At 41.9% G+C, this 26182-nt stretch overlaps 1 annotated feature.

The window, feature by feature from the left end:
• Positions 4834–5334: an enhancer, noted in NCBI's record as "H3K27ac hESC enhancer chr1:89802881-89803381 (GRCh37/hg19 assembly coordinates)". NCBI's record gives its function as "activates a minimal SCP1, AML or CMV promoter by ChIP-STARR-seq in primed H9 embryonic stem cells {active_cell/tissue: H9 hESC(primed)}" and the evidence as "EXISTENCE:reporter gene assay evidence [ECO:0000049][PMID:30033119]".

The raw sequence follows: 26182 nt of genomic DNA, 5'->3' as shown, positions 1-26182 counted from the left end.
GTCTATTTATCTCCTGATGGTATTTAATAGGAGACCCATTAGCTGTGAGGAAGATCCTCTCTTTCCAGATAGTGCCATGGATATGTAGGACTAGGAAAGTGTACTTAGAATCAGTATAAATGTTGGCTGTTTTTCCTTTGCTTAATTCAAATGCCCTTGTGAGGGTGATTAGTTTGGCTAGTTAAGCTCTTGTACCTGAGAAGAGAGGTGTGCTCTCAACAATATCATTCAGAGTAACTATTGCATACCTTGCTTTATGGGTTCCTTGTTCTACCAAAGAGCTTCCATCTGCAAAGGGAATCCAGCCTGGGTTCTCTAAGGGGGTTTCCTTGAGGTCTTCTCTGGCTGCATAGGTTTGTACTACTATTTGGCTTGCAGTCATGTTCAAGCTCCTCGGCTTCCTCTGGGAGGAAGGTGACTGGATTTAGGGAGGGACAGATTCTTAATTGAACTGAAGATTCTTCTAATAACAGAGCTTGATACCTGAGGAGTCAGTTGTATGTTAGCCAGAGACTTCCCTTAGAAGGCAGTAGTCCTCCCACATTATGTGGGATATGAATGGTTAAGTTATTCCTCATGGTTAACTTAGTTGCCTCCGGTACCAGCAGGGCTACTGCTGTGATTACCAGGAGTGAGGCTGGCCATCCTTTGGCTACCAAATTTAGTTCCTCACTCAGGGAGCCTACAGACTGCTGGGCTGAGCCCTGGGCCTGTGGTAGAACTCCCAGTGCCATTCCCTTTCTTTCTGACACATAAAGATTACATGTTTTCCCCATGGGGAGACTAAAGGCTGGTGCCTTAAGCAAGCTTATTTTAGTTGGTCAAAGGCCTTTCTAGCCTACAGTTCACAAATAAGACAGTGAGTTTTAGCTGCCTGAGTCTCCTTTATTAGGTGATATAAGGAACAAGCTATTTCACCATACCCAGGTATCCATAGTCTGGAGGATCCTGTAATGTCTAAGAAGCCTTGCAGTTTCTTGAGGGTTTTGGGGTCGGGAAAGGGGGGTGGCGGGCAGGGGAGAAGATGGGTTTAATCCTGCTTTGCCCAATGCCCTGGTTCTCTCTGACAAGACCAGGTCTAGGTACTTCACTAAAGTCTGACAGAACTGAGCTTTAGATTTTGGAACTTTATATCCTCGATTAGCCAGAAAATTTAGAAGAGCCTTACTGCCCTCCTGAGAGATTTCCTCATTTGGAGCACAGAGGAGAAGGTCATCCACATGTTGCAAACCTTTAACCTGAGAGTAAAGGAACTCAGAGAGGTCTCTTGGTAATGCCTCCCCAAACAAGTGACGGCTGTCTTGGAACCCCTAAAGTAACACCAACCAGATTAACTTGGTGATTTGGTTAGAAGGATCCTCAAATGCAAGCAAATACTGGGAGTCAGGGTGTAATGGTATGCAGAAGAAGGCATCCTTTAGGTCAGGACTGTGAACATTTTAGCTTCCTCAGGTATTTGAGCTAGCAGGGTATACATATTGGGAACCACCGGGTGTATTGGACCCACAGCCTCATGAATTGAGGCACAGGTCCTGAACTAGCCTGCGTTCCCTGTTGGGTTTTTGTATGCCCAATATTGGGGTATTAGACCGCTGTTGCAGGGTTTGAGGAGGCCCTGCATCTTCAAGTTATTGATAGTGGCTTCTAGTCCTTTCCTAACCTCTGGTTTCAGGGGATATTGTTTCTCGTTAGGAAAGGAGGTGGGATTCTTAAGGTGGACCTGGACCAGTATGGTGGTTGTAGCTTAGCCAATCTTCCCTCAAGTTGCCCAAACTTCTGGGTTAATATTGGTTTGTACTATGGGGAGACAAAGAGTTTTCCCAGGGGCCATGAGGATGGTGGTCCCCATATGGGCCAGAATATCTCTTCTCAACAAAGGAGCTGGGCTTTCAGGCATAATTAGAAAAGCATGGGTGAACAAAAGGTCTCTCCAACTACAATTAAGTGGTTGGGAAAAATATCGGGTTAAAGGCTTTCCTGAGACACCCGTCATGGTCATGTTAAGAGAGAAGAGGGGGCCCAGATTAGAGAGGAGAAGCGAGAGACCAGCCCTGGTGTTCCAAAAGGAGGTCCAATTTCCTCCTTTCCATTTCTAGAATTCACCCAGGGTCCCTGGATGGTAATGGAGGTCTGGACCACTGGAGGTGGGGAGAGGAGCCCAGGGTCCCACCAGTCTTGCTGCTGGACCATTTGGGTGATTGGTTCTGGACCCAGTGACCAACATCCCTGGGGACAGTCCACCTTCCAGTTTCCCCCGATGCAGACTGGACAGGCTTGAGGTGGCTTCCTCATGCTGCCTGGGTAATCCTTGAAATGTCCTGGCTTTCTATATCTGTAGCAGTTAACAGGTGCACCCTGGGAATTATGGGGTTTCAGGGCTTTCGTGGTGGCCATTAAAGCCTCTGTCTCTTTCCTGTATTACCTCTCTCTCTGCTGGGCCTCCCTGTCTCTATTAAAAAAACATAGGTGGTCACTTTCAGGAGGTTCTCTAAATTCTATCTGGTCCCAGGGTCTGTTTCTGAAACTTCCTCCTGATATCGGGGAATGCCTGGGTAATAAATTTATCCTTCAAGATAAGTTGTCCTTCGGCCGAATCAGGAGATAGAAAGGTGTGCTTAGCATTTTTAGGAAGGCAGTGGGATTCTTATCAAATTCCTGGTCTATCATGCAGAACTTGGTATAATTGAAAAGCTTGGTCCTAGCCCTACATCAGCCCTCCATTATGCAGGCCTGAAAGTGCCTCCTCTTCCAGTCTCCCATCTCATCATTGGGATCCCATCCAGGGTCATCCACTGGTACTGCTTCTCTTCAGTTGAATAAAGTTTGCCGCCTTCCCTGATGCTATCCCCAAATCTCTCTGCTGCTTCTCTTCTCTCTGAGAAGCAGAGAGCACCCTGCTTCTCAGTATCTGTCAGGCTTTGGTTCAAAAGTAATAACGTCTTTCCAGGACAGTTCAAATACTTGGGTGAAATTCTGGAAAGCCTTTATGTATCTGTCAGGGTCATCTGAAAATTTGCCAAGATTCCCCTTCATTTGCCTTAAGTCCTGTAGAGACAAGGGGACTTGGACCTTACTGAGGCCGTATTCACTAGGCATCTGTTGTAGGGGCAGGAGTGAGACTGGGGCCTGTCTAGAGTGAGGATTTCTAGGAGGGGGCAAACAAGAGAGAGAAACTGGAGGGGGACGATGGGGTGGACCCAGAGGAGCAGGGCCAGAGAAAGCTTGTTCCCCTGCTAGACATGCCTCTGGGGTTTGTTCCTTTAGTTCCCTGGGATTGTCCCTTGGCAGCCTCTCCTGAGATGACAAACAGGAGGGCTGGATCAATCCTGCAATGTTGGCAAAGGTCCGAATTATACTGTAAGGTGAAGAAAGCCTGCACATAGAAAGCCTCAGACCATTTGCCCTTATGTTTACAGAAAAAATCCAGCTGCAGGATGGTGTCGAAATGAACGGCTCCTTCCTGAGACCAAGCCAGTCCATCCTGCAAATCAAAATTTTGCCAAACTTTTGTGCAAAGGACCATGAGGTATTTTTTCTCCAGAGTCTGAGGGTCAAAGCAGTCCCAATGATTCAGGATACACTTCAGAGGAGTATAGACTGATGATAGCTAGTTACCCATCTGAAAGAGAGAAAAATAAGCATTCCTTAATTCCTTTCTCTCTTTCAGCAAAAGCTCAGGGTGTGTGAGGGAGAGAGAGAAGAATGTCCCCTTTTCTCTTCCATCTTTTCATCCCCAAGTCCTGGTGACACAGACCTGGTGTGACCTGCACCCATGAAGCAGGGGGCCTAGAAGGCAGGAGTTATTTGCATTTACCTACACTGTCTATCCCCCTGGCTGTTGATAACCTTTGAGTTTCCTGGACCTCATTTATGCCATGGATACTAGCATGACCTCTATCCATGAAACAGGGGCTTAATTGGCAGGATTAGTTTTGCCCACCTAAGTTGTGCACGTATCTTCCATTGTTACCTGCTTTTGAATCCCTCGGACCTAGTTTTTGAATCCCTCAGACCTAGGACTTCAACCTGAAGCTTGGAATTGAATTTGGGACAAAAAGTTGTCTCAGGGGAGTGCATGGATTCCTTTAGATTAAGTCCCAGATGGCCCTTGCCAAATTTGCAGCCAGCCGCTGGTGGGATCACCCCTCTGTTTCATCCCTATGGTAAGCAGAGTGTTAAGGTAGGAAAAAGAAAACCCTCTCACATAGAAAAATTCCCTGTATTTGCAGGGCTATGACTTCCTGACATGGTGGAGAAAAGGAAAAATGAGACGGCTTAAGCATAAGTGTTGGCAGAGGTGCCTGGAGAGAAAATCTTCTTGTTCTATGCAAATAAATTCCTTTAACAGGGGAAAGAGCTGGCCCCCAAGACTACCCTGAGGCCTGGGTGGCGGCTGCAGCTTATTCTCACCCTGTGTGATTGTTAGATGCAGTGTGTGTAGCAAGAGAAAATGAGGAGGAAACAAAAGTGAAAACCCCTGATAAACCCATCAGATCTCATGAGACTTATTCATTATCATGAGAATAGCATGGGAAAGACCAGCCCCGTGATTCAATTACCTCCCCGTGGGTCCCTCCCATAACATGTGGAAATTCAGGGAGATACAATTCAAGTTGAGATTTTGGTGGGGACACAGCCAAACCATATCATTCTGTCCTTGGCCCCTCTAAATCTCATGTCCTCACATTTCAAAACCAATCATGCCTTCCCAAAAGTCCTCCAAAGTTTTAACTCATTTGAGCATTAACCTTAAAGTCCACAGTCCAGAGTCTCATCTGAGACAAGGCAAGTCCCTTCTGCCTATGAGCCAGTAAAATCAAAATCAATCTAGTTACTTCCTAGATATAGTGGGGTACAGGGACTGATAAGTACAGCTGTTCCAAATGGGAGAAATTTGGCCAAAATAGAGGGGAAAAAGGGCCCATGCAAGTCCAAAATCCAGCAGGGCAGTCAAATTTTAAAGCTCCAAAATGATATCCTTTGACTCCAGATCTCACATCCAGGTCATGCTGATGCAAGAGGTGGGTCCCCATGGTCTTGGGTAGCCCCACCTCTGTGGTTTTGCGGGGTGCAGCCTCTCTTCTGGCTGCTTTCATTGGCTGGTGTTGAGTGTCTGTGGCTTTTCCAGGTGCACAGTGCAAGCTGTCAGTGGATCTACCATTCTGGGGTCTGGAAGACAGTGGCCCTCTTCTCACAGCTCCACTAGGCAGTTCCCCAGTAGGGACTCTGTGTGGTGGCTCTGAACCCACATTTCCCTTCTGCACTGCCCTAGAAGAGGTTCTCCATGAGGGCCCCACCCCTGCAGCAAACTTTTGCCTGGGCATCCAGGAGTTTCCATACGTCTTCTGAAATCTAGGTGGAGGTTCCCAAACCTCAATTGTTGACTTCTGGGCACCCACAGGCTCAACACCATGTGGAAGCTTCCAAGGCTTGAGCCTTCCACCCTCTGAATCCACAGCTCAAGCTGTATGTTGGCCCCTTTCAGCTACAGCTGGAGTGGCTGGGACACAGGGCACCAAGTCCCTAGGCTACACACAGCACTGGGACCCTGGGCCTGGCCCAAGAAACCACTTTTCCTCCTGGGCCTTCAGGCCTGTGACAGGAGGGGCTGCTCTGAAGGTCTCTGACATGGGCTGGAGACATTTTCCCCATGGTGTTGGGAATTAACATTAGGCTCTTTGCTACTTATGCAAATTTCTGCAGCAGGCTTGAATTTCTCCCCAGAAAATGGGGTTTTCCTTTCTATCACATAGTCAGGCTGCAAGGTTTCCAAACTTTTATGCTCTGTTTCCCTTATAAAACTGAATGCCTTTAACAGTACCCAAGTCACCTCTTGAATACTTTGTTGCTTAGAAATTTCTTCCACCAGATACCCTAAATCATCTCTCTCAAGTTCAAAGTTCCACAAATCTCTAGGGCATTGGGAAAATGCTGTCAGCCTCTTTGCTAAAAATAACAAGAATCACCTTTACTCCAGTTCCCAACAAGTTCCTCATCTCCTCTGAGTTCCTCTGAGACCACCTCAGCCTGGACCTTATTGTCTATATCACTATCAGCATTTTGGGCAAAGCCATTCAACAAGTCTCTAGGAAGTTCCAAACTTTCCCAGATTTTTCTGTCTACTTCTGAGCCCTCCAAACTGTTCCAACCTCTACCTGTTACCCAGTTCCAAAGTCACTTCTACATTTTGGGGTATCTTTTCAGCAACACCCCACTATACTGGTACCACTTTACTATATTAGTCCATTTTCATGCTGTTGATAATGACATACCCGGGACTGGGAAGAAAAAGAGGTTTAATTGGACTTACAGTTCCACATGACTGGGGAGGCCTCAGAGTCATGGCGGGAGGCAAAAGGCACTTCTTACATGGAGGCAGCAAAAGAAAATGAGGAGGAAGCAAAAGCAAAAACCCCTGATAAACCCTTCAGATCTCATGAGACTTATTCATATTATGAGAATAGCACTGGAAAGATAGACCTCCATGATTTACCTCCCCCTTTGTCCCTCCCAGAACACATGGGAGTTCTGGGAGATAGAATTCAAGTTGAGATTTTGGTGGGGACACAGCCAAACCATATCAGGCACCCCTGGTGCAAATCCAACAAAGGGGTCAAGAGAAAACTCCTTCATCACTGCTTTGGTGGTCTTAGGTAAGATCCAGTACAATTTCATGGATTACCCAGCAAAGACTTTTGTTCTCTTCTCTTACTTTCCCAAACAAATGGAATATCTCTTTCCATGCTGAGCTGTCTGGAGTTGTGGGAAGGGTGACACAAACATCCTTATCACCACCACCAGGATTGCACTGGGTCAAACCTGAAGCCAGCATAGTACTGAATCTTGCTCAAGACTTGCAGCAACTACTGTCTGGTTACTGCTGATGTTCACACAAGGCCCAAGGGCTCTTCAGTCTGCTGGTGACAAATCCAGCCAGGCTTTTGTCCTTTTCTTTAGGGCTGTGTGTATTCTCTCTTTCACAGGCACATAGATTCTCTCTCTGTGCCACATGGCCACTGCTGGGAATGGGGAAAGGTTGATGTCAGCAGTTAAAGACTATCATTCCTACCCTCTTCAGTGTCTTTTTCCTTGATATGATTTTAATACCAGGCACTGCGATCATTCACATGATTTTTGGTTCTTTTGAAGGTGCTTTCTTGTGTGGATAGTTGTTTAATTTGGTGTTGCTAGGTAGGGGTAATGGTCTCTGGAGGGTTCAAACTGACCATCTTGCTCTGCTTTCTCTCTGATTTTTGTTGTTTGGTTTCTCTCTAATTTGACCTTGACTATTCTCTGTTGAGAGTAGTCATAAGCCAAGATAGCCACTCTCTAGGAGAGCCCTCAGTGGGTTGAAGGTAGTGGGGAGTTGGGTTTGGGTATATCAGGGAAGTAAGATGTAATGAGGAGGTGGAACCAAAGTGCATAAAACAGGGGAAATGTATTACTTACAGACCACAGAGAGGATAGGCCACTATTAGGAGTCAGATGGGAAGTCTGGAAGTGGCAGAGAACTCAACCAGTGAGCTGGGGGAAAGAAAGCAAGAAACAGAGAAGACCTGTGGGACTATGCCTTTATTAGGGTTCATGGGCATTATCCCTTAAGCTTTCCTGCAGGGATTGTGGATTGACTACTATAGTTCAGGTCTTTATCAGCCTGCAGGATGCATTCCTCCATTGCCAACTGTGACTTCAGGAAATGCTGAAGGAACTTATTTGCCTGAAGAAACAAGATGGAGCAAAGAACTTAGATTTCCACTAGGAAGATTTGTTCTCTACAAACAGGTTCATCCATGTCATTTTTTTTTTCTGCTTATAATGCTTCAGGAATCCCTTATAATTCATGATAGCTCCTTAGTGTGATGAGAGACCAACCCGGTCTTCTGCTTCTTGTCTTCCTCCTGTTCTACTCCCTGTACTACTTCCTTCCACCTGCTCTAGGTACGAGCCAGTCAGAACTATGTCCAATTGTGCAATCCAAAATCTCTGATGCTTTTATATATTTGCATGTTTATCTGGGGCTTGTTCTCTTGGATGGCATCTCAATCTGTACAACATGTACACTATGGTCTGAATATATGTGTCCTCCCAAATTCATATGTTGAACACTAATTCCCAGGGTGATGGCATTAGAAGTGGGGCATTAGGGAAGTGATTAGGTCCTGAGTGTGGAGCTGTCATGAATTAGAGTAATGCCCCTGTAAGGGGCTGAGAGACTAGAGTTCACTTGCACCATGTGAGGACACAGAAAGAAGGTGCTGTCTATGAACCAGAAAGTGCACCCTCATCATACGCTGAACCTGCTGGTGCCTTGGTCTTTGCCTTCTCAGCCTCAGAACTATAAGAAATGAATATCAATTGTTTATAAGTCACCCACTTTATGGTATTTTGTTATAGCATCCTGAATAGACTAAGGTAAGGTACAAACATTTTAAAATTTCTGTCACCCTTTTCTTCCTGGAAGGTTTCCTAGACCACATACCCAGTATGAAATGCAGCCCCAAACTCTGTTGCTACTCTCCCCTGCCACTTGTTAGATATGTAACTCTAGGCAAGTTCTTTAAGCTACCTGAGCCTTCCAGTTCACATGTATCAAATGTGGGAAATAAGAGTAGATGCTTCATAACATTATTTGAAGAATTAAATGAAAACATCTATAACACTATGCCTGCCACAAAGGTAATAATTGTTCAACATATGTTAGTTGCATTATTATTATTATTATTATTATTAGTTTGAGACAGAGTCTCACTCAGTCGCCCAGGCTGGAGTGCAGTGGCTCCATCTCTGCTCATTCAAGCTCTGCCTCCTGGGTTCACACCATTCTCCTGCCTCAGCCTCCCAAGTAGCTGGGACTACAGGTGCCCACCACCATACCCAGCTATTCTTTTTGTATTTTTTTAGTAGAGACAGGGTTTCACTGTGTTAGCCAGGATGGTCGTGATCTCCTGACCTCGTGATCCACCCTCCTCACCTCCCAAAGTGCTGGGATTACAGGCGTGAGCCACCGCGCCTGGCTGCATTATTATTATTATGCTTAATACTTCCATTATGACAGCCCAGCATCACAGGTCCATAAGCATGATAACTCTATATGCAATTGTCTATTTATTCAATTCTGTCTCACTTTGATCAGACTTGACTGCAAATACTCTAACATTACCTGTCAATCACTGGCATTTGACAGAATGCCTGATACAACATTGGATGAAGAAATCTGTTCTCTTTCCCTGTACTGTTTCTTTTGGGAGTTGATATTTCTACTCTCCTGAGGAATTAACAACAAATGGTGGCCATTAAAAGCTAAAAGTATAATATATCCTCATGTTCTGTGTATTATCCACAGCTGGTACTGTGCTCCAGATTTTCAGGAGATCCCCTTGACTCTATTCTGTAAGCTTTCCCATGCTCCTTATATAACTCACCTTAACTCCTTTTCTGGGCACTAGCTAATAGTCCCATTTGATTCTTTTCTTTGCTTCCTTGTGGAGTTTGTGTCCTCCAGGAATATAGAGCCTTCCTGCTGAAAATCTTTCCATTAGAGCCTTTAAGAGACAATTAAATTTAGTCTGCAATATTGAACAGATGCCTGTTCGTTCTGCAGCCATAAATCCTCCTTCCTATTCTTTAGGATTTCCTGCAAGGGAAATGTAGATGAAAGTCACCAGAAGAAAGGGATGTGGTGATGAAATTTCAAACAATCTTATTCGATGGGTAGTCTAACTGTGGTCCTTTTGAGAACATTTTAGTGGAGCAGCACAGGCAATGTAGCAAGAATCAAGAGACTTAATTTACTCTCAACTCTGAAACCACTCTGCAAGGCGTAGGGAAAGCTTATTAACTTCCCTGTGCTGAAGATTCTTCATCCAGGAAATGCTGAGGTTGCAATATGTAATCTTCATGGTTCCTTAGCAGCTGTAGTGTTCCTGTAATTCTATCTTCAGTAACAAAATAAATGTAAACAATAACATGTTAAGGGATTCCATCCCAGAAAATCAAGATTCTAGGAATGGATGCATACACAGAGATTAGCAACAGGTAAGTAACGACTTAGGGGAGTTCTGGAACCATGCCAGTATGCACTATAGGAGGAGGCAATGGGCAATGATGAATTTGACAGATCAGACAATCCTGAATAAAAGTCCCAAACTTTGTGGTTAAAAAATAAAGGAAACAAAGTTCTCTAGAACTCTCTCTGTGATGAGAATTCACACTTCTTTACCATGAATAGGTGATAAGCCATGGGAGCAATGTGTCAAATTCTAGACATAATTCCAAATGGCCCAAAAATGGGAAGGAAAAATGCTAAGACAATGTACCATGAGCTTCTTCTGAAATTCCTGGTTTTCACCCCTGGAGTGCTCCATGAAGACTGCAATGGCTTCCCTCTCACAGGCTGTGTGCATATCCAGCAGCTCCTGGAGCATGTCTGTGGGGAACCTCATTCGCTGGGCCATCTGCTGGCTGTAGTGGTTGGCTGCCCTCTGCAAGGCCACTGAATTCTCACGCTGGGCCAGAGTCATCACTGTGTTCTCCAAACAAGGTACTGCTCCACTGTTGATGGCATCCACATAAGTTACCACCAGACTCCCCAGCCCTGATAGGACATGAACTAGAGAGTTATATAAATTTCAAACTCAATAGGATCCAGGTTTATGAGATGAAGATTCTAAAATAACACACACACACACACACACACACACACACACACACAAACACACACACCTCCCTACTTATTTCTGCTATCATCACTTCATTTCCACATTTACTCTTTATTCCATTGTTTTCCAGGCCATAACATTAAAAATGTAAATACCTACCTTCATTTAACATAGTCAGGGTTGTCAGGGGAAAATCATTTCACATTAACACAAATTAAGGGAAAAATAGGATACATAGATAGGTGAAGCAAAGTAACTCAGATAATTTGTATTCATAATTCTTTTTTTTTTGTTATACTTCAAGTTTTAGGGTACATGTGCACAACGTGCAGGTTTGTTACATATGGATACATGTGCCATGTTGGTGTGCTGCACCAATTAACTAATCATTTAGCGTTAGGTATATAACCTAATGCTATCCCTCCCCCCTCACCCCACCCTACAACAGGCCCCAGTGTGTGATGTTCCCCTTCCTGTGTCCATGTGTTCTCATTGTTCAATTCCCACCTATGAGTGAGAACATGCGGTGTTTGGTTTTTTGTCCTTGTGATAGTTTGCTGAGAATAATGGTTTCCAGCTTCATCCATGTCCCTACAAAGGACATGAGCTCATCATTTTTTATGGCTGCATAGTAATCCATGGTGTATATGTGCCACATTTTCTTAATCCAGTCTATCATTATTAGACATTTGGGTTGGTCCCAAGTCTTTGCTATTGTGAATAGTGCCGCAATAAACATACGTGTGTATTTGTCTTTCGAGCAGCATGATTTATAATTCTTTGGGTAAATACCCAGTAATGGGACAGCTGGGTCAAACGGTATTTCTAGTTCTAGATCCCTGAGGAATCACCACACTGACTTCCACAATGGTTGAACTAGTTTACAGTCCCACCAACAGTGTGAAAGTGTTCCTGTTTCTCCACATCCTCTCCAGCACCTGTTGTTTCCTGACTTTTTAATGATTGCCATTCTAACTGGTGTGAGATGGTATCTCATTGTAGTTTTGATTTGCATTTCTCTGATGGCCAGTGATGATGAGCATTTTTTCATGTGTCTTTTGGCTGCATAAATGTCTTCTTTTGAGAAGTGTCTGTTCATATACTTTGCCCACTTTTGATGGGATTGTTTTTTTCTTGTAAATTTGTTTGAGTTCATTGTAGATTCTGGATATTAGCCCTTTGTCAGATGAGTAGATTGCAAAGAGTTTCTCCCATTCTGTAGGTTGCCTTTTCACTCTGATGGCAGTTTCTTTTGCTGTGCAGAAGCTCTTTAGTGTAATTAGATTCCATTTGTCAATTTTGGCTTTTGTTGTCATTGCTTTTGGTGTTTTAAACATGAAGTCTTTGCCCATGGTTATGTCCTGAATGGTATTGCCTAGGTTTTCTTCTAGGGTTTCTATGGTTTTAGGTCTCACATTTAAGCCTTTAATCCATCTTGAATTAATTTTTGTACAAGGTGTAAGCAAGGGATGCAGTTTCAGCTTTCTACATATGGCTAGCCAGTTTTTCCAGCAGCATTTATTAAATAGGGAGTCCTTTCCCCATTTCTTGTTTTTATCAGGTTTGTCAAAGATCAGATGGTTGTAGATATGTGGCATTATTTCTGAGGGCTCTGTTCTGTTCCATTGGTCTATATCTCTGTTTTGGTACCAGTACCATGCTATTTTGGTTACTGTAGCCTTGTAGTATAGTTTGAAGTCAGGTAGCGTGATGCCTCTGGCTTTGTTCTTTTTGCTTAGGGTTGACTTTGCAATGTGGGCACTTTTTTGGTTCCATATGAACTTTAAAGTAGTTTTTTTCCAATTCTGTGAAGAAAGTCATTGGTAGCTTGATGGGGATGGCACTGAATGTATAAATTACCTTGGGCAGTATGGCCATTTTCACGATATTGATTCTTCCTACCATGAGCATGGAATGTGCTTCCATTTCTTTGTATCCTCTTTTATTTCACTGAGCAGTGGTTTGTAGTTCTCCTTAGAGAGGTACTTCACATCCCTTGTAAGTTGGATTCCTAGGTATTTTATTCTCTTTGAAGCAATTGTGAATGGGAGTTCACTCATGATTTGGCTCTCTGTTTGTCTGTTATTGGTGTACAAGAATGCTTGTGATTTTTGCACATTGATTTTGTATCCTGTGACTTTGCTGAAGTTGCTTATCAGCTTAAGGAGATTTTGGGCTGAGACGATGGGGTTTTCTAGATATACAATCATGTCATCTGCAAACAGGGACAATTTGACTTCCTCTTTTCCTAATTGAATACCCTTTATTTCCTTCTCCTGCCTGAGTGCCCTGGCCAGAACTTCCAACACTATGTTGAATAGGAGTGGTGAGAGAGGGCATCCCTGTCTTGTGCCAGTTTTCAAAGGGAATGCTTCCAGTTTTTGCCCATTCAGTACGATATTGGCTGTGGGTTTGTCATAGATAGCTCTTATTATTTTGAGATACGTCTCATCAATACCTAATTTATTGAGAGTTTTTAGCATGAAGTGTTGTTGAATTTTCTCAAAGGCCTTTTCTGCATCTACTGAGATAATCATGTGGTTTTTGTCGTTGGTTCTGTTTATATGCTGGATTACGTTTATTCATTTGTGTATGTTGAACCAGCCTTGCATCCCAGGGATGAAGCCCACTTGATCATGGTGGATAAGCTTTTTGATGTGCTGCTGGATTCAATTTGCCAGTATTTTATGGAGGATTTTTGCATAATGTTCATCAGGGATATTGGTCTAAAATTCTCTTTTTTTTGTTGTGTCTCTGCCAGGCTTTGGTATCAAGATGATGCTGGCCTCATACAATGAGTTAGGGAGGGTTCCCTCTTTTTCTGTTGATTGGAGTAGTTTCAGAAGGAACGGTACCAGCTCCTCCTTGTACCTCTGGTAGAATTCGGCTGTGAATCTATCTGGTCCTGTACTTTTTTTGGTTGGTAAGCTATTAATTATTACCTCAATTTCAAAGCCTGTTATTGGTCTATGCAGAGATTCAACTTCTTCCTGGTTTAGTCTTGGGAGAGTGTATGTGTCGAGGAATTTATCCATTTCTTCTGGATTTTCTAGTTTATTTGTGTAGAGGTGTTTATAGTGTTCTCTGATGGTAGTTTGTATTTCTGTGGGATCAGTGGTGATATCCCCTTTTTTTTATTTTTTATTGCGTCTATTTGATTCTTCTCTATTTTCTTCTTTATTAGTCTTGCTAGAGGCCTATCAATTTTGTTGATCTTTTCAAAAAACGAGCTCCTGGATTCATTGATTTTTGGAAGGGTTTTTTGTGTCTCTATTTCCTTCAGTTCTGCTCTGATCTTAGTTATTTCTTGCCTTCTGCTAGCTTTTGTATGTGTTTGCTCTTGCTTCTCTAGTTCTTTTAATTGTGATGTTAGGGTGTCAATTTTAGATCTTTCGTGCTTTCTCTTGTGGGCATTTAGTGATATAAATTTCCCTCTACACTCTGCTTTTAATGTGTCCCAGAGATTCTGATATGTTGTGTCTTTGTTCTCATTTGTTTCAAAGAACATCTTTATTTCTGCTTTCATTTCGTTATGTACCCAGTAGTCATTCAGGAGCAGGTTGTTCAGTTTCCATGTAGTTGAGTGGTTTTGAGTGAGTTTCTTTTTTTTTTTTTTTTTTTTTGAGACGGAGTCTCGCTCTGTTGCCCAGGCTGGAGTGCAGTGGCGGGATCTCGGCTCACTGCAAGCTCCGCCTCCCGGGTTCACGCCATTCTCCTGCCTCAGCCTCCCAAGTAGCTGGGACTACAGGCGCGCGCCACTACGCCCGGCTAATTTTTTGTATTTTTAGTAGAGACGGGGTTTCACCGTTTTAGCCGGGATGGTCTCGATCTCCTGACCTCATGATCCGCCCGCCTCGGCCTCCCAAAGTCCTGGGATTACAGGCGTGAGCCACCGCGCCCGGCCGAGTGAGTTTCTTAATCCTGAGTTCTACTCTGATTGCACTGTGGTCTGAGAGACAGTTTGTTATAATTTCTGTTCTTTTACATTTGCTGAGTAGAGCTTTACTTCCAACTATGTGGTCAATTTTGGAATAGGTGTGGTGTGGTGCTGAAAAGAATCTATATTCTGTTGATTTGGGGTGGAGAGTTCTGTAGATGTCTATTAGGTCTGCTTGGTGCAGAACTGAGTTCAATTCCTGGATATCCTTGTTAACTTTCTGTCTCATTGATCGTCTAATGTTGACAGTGGGGTGTTAAAGTCTCCCATTATTATTGTGTGGGAGTCTAAGTCTCTTTGTAGGTCTCTAAGGACTTGCTTTATGAATCTGTGTTCTCCCGCATTGGACGCATATATATTTAGGATAGTTAGCTCTTCTTGTCAAATTGATCCCTTTACCATTATGTAATGGCTTTCTTTGTCTCTTTTGATCTTTGTTGGTTTAAAGTCTGGTTTATCGGGGACTAGGATTGCAACCCCTGCCTTTTTTTTGTTTTCTATTTGCTTGGTAGATCTTCCTCCATCCCTTTATTTTGAGCCTATGTGTGTCTCTGCCCATGTGATGGGTTTCCTGAATATAGCACACGGATGGGTCTTGACTCTTTATCCAATTTGCCAGTCTGTGTCTTTTAACTGGAGCATTTAGCCCATTTACATTTAAGGTTAATATCGTTATGTGTGAATTTGATCCTGTCATTATGATGTTAGCTGGTTATTTTGCTCATTAATTGATGCAGTTTCTTCCTAGCCTTGATGGTCTTTACAATTTGGCATGTTTTTGCAGTGGCTGGTACCGGTTGTTCCTTTCCATGTTTAGTGCTTCCTTCAGGAGCTCTTTTAGGGCAGGCCTGGTGGTGACAAAATCTCTCAGCATTTGCTTGTCTGTAAAGTATTTTATTTCTCCTTCACTTATGAAGCTTAGTTTGGCTGGATATGAAATTCTGGGTTGAAAATTCTTTTCTTTAAAAATGTTGAATATTGGCCCCCACTCTCTTCTGGCTTGTAGAGTTTCTGCTGAGAGATCTGCTGTTAGTCTGATGGGCTTCCCTTTGTGGGTAACCTGAGCTTTCTCTCTGGCTGCCCTTAACATTTTTTCCTTCATTTCAACTTTGGTGAATCTGACAATTATGTGTCTTGGAGTGGCTCTTCTCGAGGAGTATCTTTGTGGCATTCTCTGTATTTCCTGAATTTGAATGTTGGCCTGCCTTGCTAGATTGGGGAAGTTCTCCTGGATAATATCCTGCAGAGTGTTTTCCAACTTGGTTCCTTTCTCCCTGTCACTTTCAGGTACACCAATCAGATGTAGATTTGGTCTTTTCATATAATCCCATATTTCTTGGAGGCTTTGTTCGTTTCTTTTCATTCTTTTTTCTCTAAACTTCTCTTCTCGCTTCATTTCATTCATTTGATCTTCCATCACTGATACCCTTTCTTCCAGTTGATCAAATCGGCTACTGAGGTTTGTGCATTCGTCACATAGTTCTCATGCTTTGGTTTTCAGCTCCATCAGGTCCTTTAAGGACGTCTCTGCATTGGTTATTCTAGTTAGCCATTCATCTAATTTTTTTTCAAGGTTTTTAACTTCTTTGCCGTGGGTTTGAAATTCCTCCTTTAGCTCGGAGTAGTTTGATAGTCTGAAGTCTTCTCTCAACTCGTCAAAGTCATTCTCCATCCAGCTTTGTTCCATTGCTGGTAAGGAGCTGCATTCCTTTGGAGGAGGAGAGGCGCTCTGATTTTTAGATTTTCCAGTTTTTCTTCTCTGTTTTTTCCCCATCTTCGTGGTTTTATCTACCTTTGGTCTTTGATGATGGTGATGTACAGTTGGGATTTTGGTGTGGATGTCCTTTCTGTTTGTTAGTTTTCCTTCTAACAGTCAGGACCCTCAGCTGCAGGTCTGTTGGAGTTTGCCGGAGGTCCACTCCAGACCCTGTTTACCTAGGTAACAGCAGTGGAGGCTGCAGAACAGCGAATATTGGTGAACAGCAAATGTTGCTGCCTGATTGTTCCTCTGGAAGTTTTGTTCTCAGAGGATTACCCGGCAGTGTGAGGTGTCAATCTGCCCCTACTGAGGGGTGCCTCCCAGTTAGGTTACTCGGGGGTCAGGGACCCACTTAAGGAGGCAGTCTGTCCATTCTCAGATCTCAAGCTGCATGCTGGGAGAACCACTACTCTATTCGAAGCTGTCAGACAGGGACATTTAAGTCTGCAGAGGTTTCTGCTGCCTTCTGTTTGGCTGTGCCCTGACCCCAGAGGTGGAGTCTACAGAGGTAGGCAGGCCTCCTTGAGCTGCAGTGGGCTCCACCCAGTTTGAGCTTCCTGGCTGCTTTGTTTACCTACTCAAGCCTCAGCAATGGTGGGCGCCCCTCCCCCAGCCTTGCTGCTGCCTTGCACTGTGATCTCAGACTGCTGTGCTAGCAATGAGCGAGACTCCGTGGGAATAGGACCCTCCGAGCCAGGTGCAGGATATAATCTCCTGGTGTGCCATTTGCTAAGACCATCAGAAAAATGCAGTATTAGGGTGGGAGTGACCCAATTTTCCAGATGCCATCTGTCACCACTTTCTTTGACTAGGAAAGGGAATTCCCTGACCCCTTGTGCTTCCCAGATGAGGCAATGCCTCACCCTGCTTTGGCTCACGCTCAGTGCACTGCACCCACTGTCCAACACTCCCCAGTGAGATGAATCTGGTACCTCAGTTTGACATGCAGAAATCACCCATCTTCTGCGTTGCTCATGCTGGGAGCTGTAGACTGGAGCTCTTCCTATTCTTTTCATGCATTCTCAAGGATTCATCACTTAATGTTTGCTTTGAACATGGCTAAACTCCCACATAATCTCCTTAAGAAAAATGCTTATCTTATAGGACTTCCATTGAGAAGACCATGTATTCTGTTTTCATACCCAGTCACTGATTTTATTATCAATGATGAGGTCTTCACATATCTGGGAGCTTCCACTGTCCCTGATAATATTTGAGCTTTTGGAAAAGAATTTATAATCCCTGTGTTGGGAGATAGTGACTAAAACACACACATTTCTCTTTGGGATATGAGTATTTGTCAATGCATGCTTCTGTATAGAATGAAACAATATTACTTAAGAACTTTTGTAATAAATATCCAACACATATTAAGCCACACAGAAATATAATTTTGGAAGAGGAGTCTCACGATTCACAGTGACATTGACTCCTTCCCTGAGGGTCTTGGTCCTTGCCTGGGTGAAGATGTAAGAACAGAAATTATTTGACTATTCCTGGAATTTAGAATCCAGTTGGTTTTCCAACACATCCTCAATATGAGCTAGGAGCTCCTTTTCATTTTGGCCAGTCAAAGACAAAACACTTTCATTGTAGAAAGAAATACCTGATATATGCCCTGATGGTTTTGGAAGTTTTAGCTTTGAGATTGTCACCTAATGAAGAGGTAAAGCAGTGTTACAGTAAGGACAATCTTGGTACAAGCCAGCTAAAGATTGTTATCTCTGAGGACTTTTTATCTTTGGCATCTTCTATGCTCATAGAACTCCTTTAATATGTTCATTTAATACTTATTACAAATCAAGCTCATACCAGTGAAATATCTCTAGAGAGAAATTTTGGGAAATATCTGCACCAGGCAAAGAAATGTACAGCTGGTATCGACAGAAACAAGCATGGTGTCTGGGACCATGCTTGTTTCTGAGAGCCCTGTTTAGGACAAGGATAGAAATATTGATAGGGGTTAATGCTGCCTGTATATTCCCATTTTCTGCCCTTGAGACTCAATATGTTGTCATCTACCATTATTTTTGTTTTCAAGAGTGTCTGACTCTGTCACCTAGGCTGGAGTGCAGTGGTGCAAACATAGTCCTCTGCAGCCTCAAACTCTCAAACTTCTGGGCTCACACAATCCCCTTGAGCAGCTGGGAATTCAGGCATGTGCCAACATGCCTGGCTATTTTTTTATTTTTTATTTTTTGTAGCAATGGGATCTCACTATGTTTTTCAGACTGGTCTTGAACTCTTGGCTTCATGCAATCCTCCCACCTCATTCTCCCAAAGTAAATGAATTACAGGCATGAGCCACTGCATTTGGTAAGCTTCTATTATTCTTGTGATTTTTCTAAATGTCCAATATCATATGCTCTTTATATCAAACCATAGTCATGGACTTAGTAGGATTTCAATATGCTAGTCTACAAGGTATTCTGCAACATCAAGGTACTGTGGCCTAATTAGAATTTTCATTAAAGCTACACAAAGATATAAATGAGTTAAAAAAACACTCTGATTAATTTTTCCTTTATTCAAGCAAAAAAGCATGTATTATGTGCTACTAAGTTCTATACACTGTATTTGTTGCTGGAAATTAGGCATCAAATAAGGCAGATAGCTTCCTACTTTATAGGTATATATTTTGTTATAAGAAGACAAACAAGTAAAGATAAAAATAAACAAAATATGTTCTTATTGTGTTAAGTTCAGGGGCAACATGAGAAAGGAGAGTCAGGTAAAACCTTTTGGAGACTGGACATTTATGCAGAGCCTTAAAGAAAATGAGCTGTGTGAAGAACCAGTAAGCACTGCAGGCAGAGTGAAGCACAAGTATAAATACCTGGGGACAGGAAGGGGCTTGTGATTTGCAATAATATTAACAGGAGTGGTGAAAATATAAAATATGAGTTTGGATAAATAGAAAATAATAGATCATAATGAACCTACAAGAAGTATGGATTTTATATAAATCTAATGGAAGTTTAAGGAGGGTATTTAAAGAAGCTAGATTTAAGATCACTCTTGTTGCTTTGAAAAGAGTTGATTACAGAGTGAAAGCCAGAAAGTGGAAGCAAGAAAGATAGTATGCTAGTAAGTATTTTAAGCAAAAGATGAAGAAGACAGCTTAAGATGATACAATATCAATGGAGCAGAATAAATGGATTTGTGCTATACTGAGCAAGAAAAATAAGAGGAGGGGGAGGTGGAACAAGATGGCCAAATAGAACCCTCCAGCGTTCATTCTCCAAGCAGGAACACAAAATTGAATAACTATCCCCAGAAGAGCAACCTCCATAAGAACCAAAAATCAGGTGGCAATCACAATACCTGATTTTAACATCATATCAAGGAAAGAGGCACTGAAGAGGGTAGGAAAGACAGCCTTGAACTTCCTACAGCACCTCTCCTCAATCCCTAGGCAGCACAGCATGGCATGGAGAGAGAATCTGTGTGCTTGGGGGAGGGAGAGTGAAGTTATTGTGAGATTCTGCATGGGAACTCAGTGCTGTCCCATCACAGTGGAAAATAACACTGGGCAGAATTTGGCCAGCACCCATGGAGGAAGCATTTAAAGCAATCTTAGCCAAGGGGGAATAATTCATGTATCCCAGTGGTAGAATTTGAACTACAGCCAGCCCCACCACCGTGGATGATACAATAGAAATAGAAAGAAACACATGGCTTTGTGCTATATTTAGTAAGAGAAATAAGAGGACCTAATATCTAAAGTGCTCTGGGGTTCTAAATAAACTAGAAATGCAGTCTAGGCTACAAGAATTGCAATTCCTGGGCAATTCTGTTGTTTTGGGGAAAGGAGGGAAAGAGAACAAAAGTTTGTGCCTAGTAATCCTGAGAATTCTACTGGATCTTACCCAAGAAAAAGGCAATAACTCTACAACTCTGCAAGAGTCACAGTGTCACTGGGCTTGGGGTGCCCACTAATGCATATATGGTTGCAATGACTAAAGACTTAGATGACAAGAATTATTTCCCCTTAAATACTTGGAAAGCCTTCTCAATAAGGATGGGTACAAACAGGCCCAGACCATGAAGATTAGAATAAATAACTAACTTCAATGCCCAGACATCAAGAAACATCCACAAACATCAAGACCATCTGGGAAAACATGACATCGCCAAATGAACTAAATATGGTACCAGTGACCAATTCTGGAGTGACAGAGATATGTGACATTTCACACAGAGAATTCAAGATTGCTGTGTTGAGGAAGCTCAATAAAATCCAAGGTAACACAGAGAAGGAATTCAGAATCCCATCGGAAACATTTAACAAAGTGATTGAAATAATTTAAAAGAATTAAGCAGAAATGCTGGAGCTGAAGAAATTCAATTGACAAACTAAAACTAAAGAATATATCAGAATCTCACAACAGCAATCCAGGAGAAGAAAAAATTAGTGATCTTGAAGACAGGCTATTTGAAAATACACAGTGATAGAAGTTAAAAGAATAAAAAAAGGAAGCATCTCTATAGGATCTAGAAAACAGCCTCAAAAAGGCAAATCTAAATGTTATTGGCCTTAATGAGGAGGTAAAGAGAGGCTGAGTTAGAAATCTTATTCATAGGGATAAAAATAGACATTACCAAACCTAGGGAAAGATAACAATATTCAAGAACAAGAAGATTATAGGAGACCAGGCAGATTTAACACAAATAAGACTACCTCAATATGTTTAATAATCAAACTCCCAAAGGTCAAGGATAAATAAGGCATACTAAAAGCAAAAAGAGAAAAGAAAAAAAAAAACATATAAAGGAGCTTCAATATGTCTAGCACATATTACTCAGTGGAAAGCTTACTAGCCAGGAGTAAGTGGTATAATATATTTAAACTGCTAAAAAAAAATCTTTTATCCTAGAATATCATACCAGTGAAAATATCCTTCAAACATAGAGGAAAAGTAAAGACTTTTCCAGCAAACAAAAGCTGAGGTAGTTCATCAACATAAGACCTGTCCTAAAAGAAATGCTAAAGAGAGTACTTCAATCTGAAAGGAAAGCATGTTAATGAGCAAAAAAAAAATCATCTGAGTACATAAAATTCACTGGTAACAGTGAGTATACCGACAAATATAAAATAATATGACACTGTAATTGTGGTATGTAAACTACTCATACCTTGCATAGGAAGAGTAAAAGACAAATTTATCGAAAATAATAACCACAACAACTTTTTAAGACATAGTATAATAAGATATAAATAGAAACAACGAATAGTTGAAAAGCAGAGAGGATGAAGTTAAAGTGTTGAATGTTATTAGTTTTCTCTTTGCTTGTCAGTTTTTTTTTGTAGATTTTAGCAATTAGAGTTTAACTGTCATCAGTGTAAAATAATGAGTTACAAGATATTAGTTGCAAGCCTTGTGGTAACCACAAATCAAAAAACCTACAACAGATACACAAAAAATGTATAGAGCAAGAACTTAAAACATACCAACAAGAAAATCACTTTCACAAAAAGAAAGACATGAAGGAAGAAGAGAAGAAAGAGAAGACCACAAACAACCAGAAAACAAAACCAAATGGCAGGAGTAAGTTGTTATTTAGCAACAATAACATTGAATGCAAATGGACTATACTCTCCAATCAAAAGACACAGAGAGGCCGAATGGATTAAAAAAACAGAATCCAGTGATCTGTTGCCTACAAGAAACACACTTCACCTATAAAGACACACACAAACTGAAAATAAGAAGAAGGAAAAAGACATTCCATGCCAATGGAAACCAAAAAAAGAGCAGGAGTAGCTATACTTATATCAGATAAAAGCATTTCAAGATAAAAACTATAAAAAAGACAAAGAATGTCACTATGTAACGAGTAAAAGGGATTAATATAGCAAGAGGATATAACCATTGTAAATATATATGCACCCAATACTGGAGCATCTAGATATATAAAGCAAATATTATTAGTTCAAAAGAGAGAGACAGACCACAGTATAATAACAGCTGGAGATTTCAACACCTCACCTTCAGCATTGGACAGATCAGCCAAACAAAAATTACAAAGAAAATATCAGACCTAATCTATACTATAGACCAAAAGACCTAATAGATATTTACAGATTATTTCATCCAAGGGTTGAAAAATACACGTTCTTCTGCTCAGGAAATAGATCATCCTCAAGTATAGACTATACTTTAAGCCACAAAATCAGTCTGAAAAATACAAAAAAGGTAAATATGATACTTGACACATATCAAGTATCTTCTCTGACCACAATGGAATAAAACTAGAAATCAAGCATATGAGAAAACTTAAAAGGAACACAAACATTTGGAAATTAATCAATTTGCTCCTGAATGACCAGTGGGTCAAAAAACAAGAATCAAATTTAAGAATTCCTGAAACAAATGCAAATGGAAAGAAAACATACCAAAACTTATGGGATAAGCAAAAGTGGTACTAAGAGGAAAGTTTATAGCAATAAGCACCTACAACAAAGAGGGAGCAATACTTCAAATAATCTAATGATGCATCTTAAGGAACTAGAAAAGCAAGAGCAAACCAAACCTAACATTAGTAGAAGAAAAGACATAATAATGATCTGAGCAGGAAAAAAAAAGAAATTGAAATGAGAAAAGCAATACTAAATGTCATCAAAAAGAAAAGTTGGTTTTTTGAAAAGATAATGAAAATTGGCAAACTTTTAGCCAGACTAACTGATAAAGACAGAAGACCCAAATAAATAAAATCAGAGATGAAAAAGGAGACATTACAACTTATACTGCAGAAATGTAAAGAATCACTGGACTACTATGAACAACTGTATGTCCACAAATTGGAAAACCTAAAAGAAGTGGATAAATTCCTAGACATACACAACCTACCAAGATTGAACCATTAAGAAATCTGAAGCCTAAATAGAGCAATAAAAAGTAATGACATCAAAGCCATAATAAAAAGTCTCCCAGCAAAGAAAAGCCCAGGACCCAATGGTCTCAATGCTGAACTCTACCAGACATTTAAAAAAGAATACCAATCCAACTCAAACTATTCCCCCAAAAAAGAAGGAGAGGGAATACTATGAAACTTATTCTACAAGGCCGGTATTACCCTGATGCCAAAAGCAAAGAAACATCAAAAAAAGAAAACAACAGGCTAATATCTCTGGTTAATATTGATACAAATATCCTCAACAAAATACCAGCAAAGCAAATTCAACATCAAATTTGAAAGATCATTCATCATGACTGTCATTGCAACCCCTGCTTTTTTTTTCTTTTATTTCCATTTGCTTGGTAAATATTCCTTCATTCCTTTATTTTGAGCCTATGTGTGACTGCACATGAGATGGGTCTTCTGAATACAGCACACCAATGGATCTTGACTTTTTATTCAATTTGTCAGTCTGTGTCTTTTAATTGGGTCATTTGGCCCATTTACATTTAAGGTTAACATTGTTATGTGTGAATTTGATCCTGTCATCATGATGCTAGCTAGTTATTTTGCACATTTGTTGATGCAGTTTCTTCCTAGTGTCATTGGTCTTTATATTTTGGTCTGTTTTTGGTGTGGCTGGTATCAGTTTTTCCTTTCCATATTTAGTGCTTCCTTCAGGAGCTCTTGTAAGGCAGGCCTGGTGGTGACAAAATCCCTCAGCATTTGCTTGTCTGTAAAGAATTTTATTTCTCCTTTGCTTATGAAGCTTAGTTTGGCTGGATATGAAATTCTGGGTTGAAAATTCTTCTATTTAAGAATGTTGAATATTGACCCCCACTGTCTTCGGGCTTGTAGGGTTTCTGCAGAGAGATCTGCTATTAGTCTGATGAGCTTCCTTTTGTAGGTAACCTGACCTTTCTCTCTAGCAGCCCTCAACATTTTTCCTTCATTTCAACCTTGGAGAATCTGATGATTATGTGTCTTGGGGTTACTCTTCTCAAGGAGTATCTTAGTGAAGTTCTCTGTATTTCCTGAATTTGAATGTTGACTTGTCTTGCTAGGTTGGGGAAGTTCTCCTGGATAATATCCTGAAGTATGTTTTTGAACTTCGTTGCATTCTCCCCATCACTTTCAGGGACCCCAATCAATTGTAGGCTTGGTCTTTTGACATAGTCCCATATTACTTGGAGGCTTTGTTCATTCCTTCCCATTCTTTTTTTTCTAATCTTATCTTCATGCCTTTTTTCAGTAAGTTGATCTTTAATCTCTTCTATCCTTTCTTCCGCTTGATTGATTCATCTATTGATACTCGTGTATGCTTCACGAAGTTCTCATGCTGTGTTTTTCAGCTCCATCAGGTCATTTATGTTCTTCTCTAAACTGGTTATTCTAGTTAGCAGTTCCTGTATCCTTTTGTCAAGGTTCTTAGCTTCTTTGAATTGGGTTAGAACATGCTCCTTTAGCTCAGAGCAGTTTGTTATTACCTACTTCTGAAGCCTACTTCTGTCTATTCATCAAACTCATTGTCTGTCTAGTTTTGCGCCCTTGCTGGAAAGGAGATGTGATCATTTGGAGAAGAGGCATCCTAGTTTTTGGAATTTTCAGCATATTTGCACTGTTTTTTCCTCATTTTCTGTATTTATCTCCCTTTGATATTTGAGGCTGATGGCCTTTTGATGGGGTTTCTGTGTGCGGGTCTTTTTGTTGATGTTGATGTTATTGCTTTCTCTTTGTTACTTTTTCTTCTAATGGTCAGGCCTCTCTTCTGCAGGTCTGTTGCAGTTTGCTGGAGCTCCACTCCAGACCCTATTTGCCTGGGTATCACCCATTGGGGCTGAAGAACAGCAGAGATTGCTGCTTGCTCCTTCCTCTGGAAGCTTCATCCCAGAGGGTTACCGGCCTGATCCTCGCCAGATCCCTCCTGTATGACGTGTCTGTGAACCCCTGTTGGGAGGTCTATCCCAGTAAGGAGGCAGTCTGTCCCTTAGCAGAGCTTGAGCACTGTGCTGGGAGAATCCTCCTTGTCAGGATCTGCTGCTCTCTGCAGAGCTGGCAGGCAGGAACATTTAAATCTGCTGAAGCTGTGCCCAAAGCTGCCCCTTCCACCAGGTGCTCTGTCCCAGGGAGATGGAGTTTTATCTATAAGCCCCCGACTGGGACTGCTGCCTTACTTTCAGAGATGCCCTGCCCAGTAAAAAGGAATCTAGAGAGGCAGTCTGGCCACAGCCACTTTGCCGCATTGTGTTGAGTTCCACCCAGTCTGAACTTCCAGGCCTCCTTAGTACTGTCAGGAGAAAACTACCTATCAAAGCCTCAGTAATGGCGGATGCCCCTCCCTGCACCAAGCTTGATCATCCCAGGTTGACTTTAGGCTGCTGCACTGGCAGCAAGAATTTCAAGCCAGTATTTCTTAGCTTCCTGGGCTCTGTGGGAGTGGGACCCACTGAATGAGACCACTTGGCCCCCTGGTTTCAGCCTCCATTCTAGGGGAGTGAACAGTTCTGTCTCTCTGGGGTTCTAGGTGCCACTGGGATATGAAAAAAAAAAAAAACCCTCCTGCATCTAGCTCAGTGTCTGCCCAAATAGCTGCACAGTTTTTTGCTTGAAACTCAGGGCCCTGGTGGTGTTGGCACATGAGGGAATCTCCTGGTCTGCAGATTTCCAAAACTATGGGAAAAGTGTAGTATCTGGGCTGGTTAGCATAGTCCCTCATGGCTTCCTTGCTTGGAAAACAGAGGCCCCCCACTCCTTACACTTCCTGGGTAAGGCAATATCCCACCTTGCTTCTGCTCACCCTCTGCACTGCACCCACTGCCTAACCAGTCCCAATGAGATGAACAGGGTACCTCAGTTGGAAATACAGAAATCACCCACCTGCTGTGTTGGTCTCGATGGGAGCTGCAGTGCAGAGCTGTTCCTATTTGG

This window comes from Homo sapiens, chromosome 1 (assembly GCF_000001405.40).
Source record: "Homo sapiens chromosome 1, GRCh38.p14 Primary Assembly".
Classification (NCBI taxonomy): Eukaryota; Metazoa; Chordata; class Mammalia; order Primates; family Hominidae; genus Homo; species Homo sapiens.
Note: the sequence above shows the minus strand (reverse complement) of the source record. Positions and strands in the feature narration are given on the sequence as shown.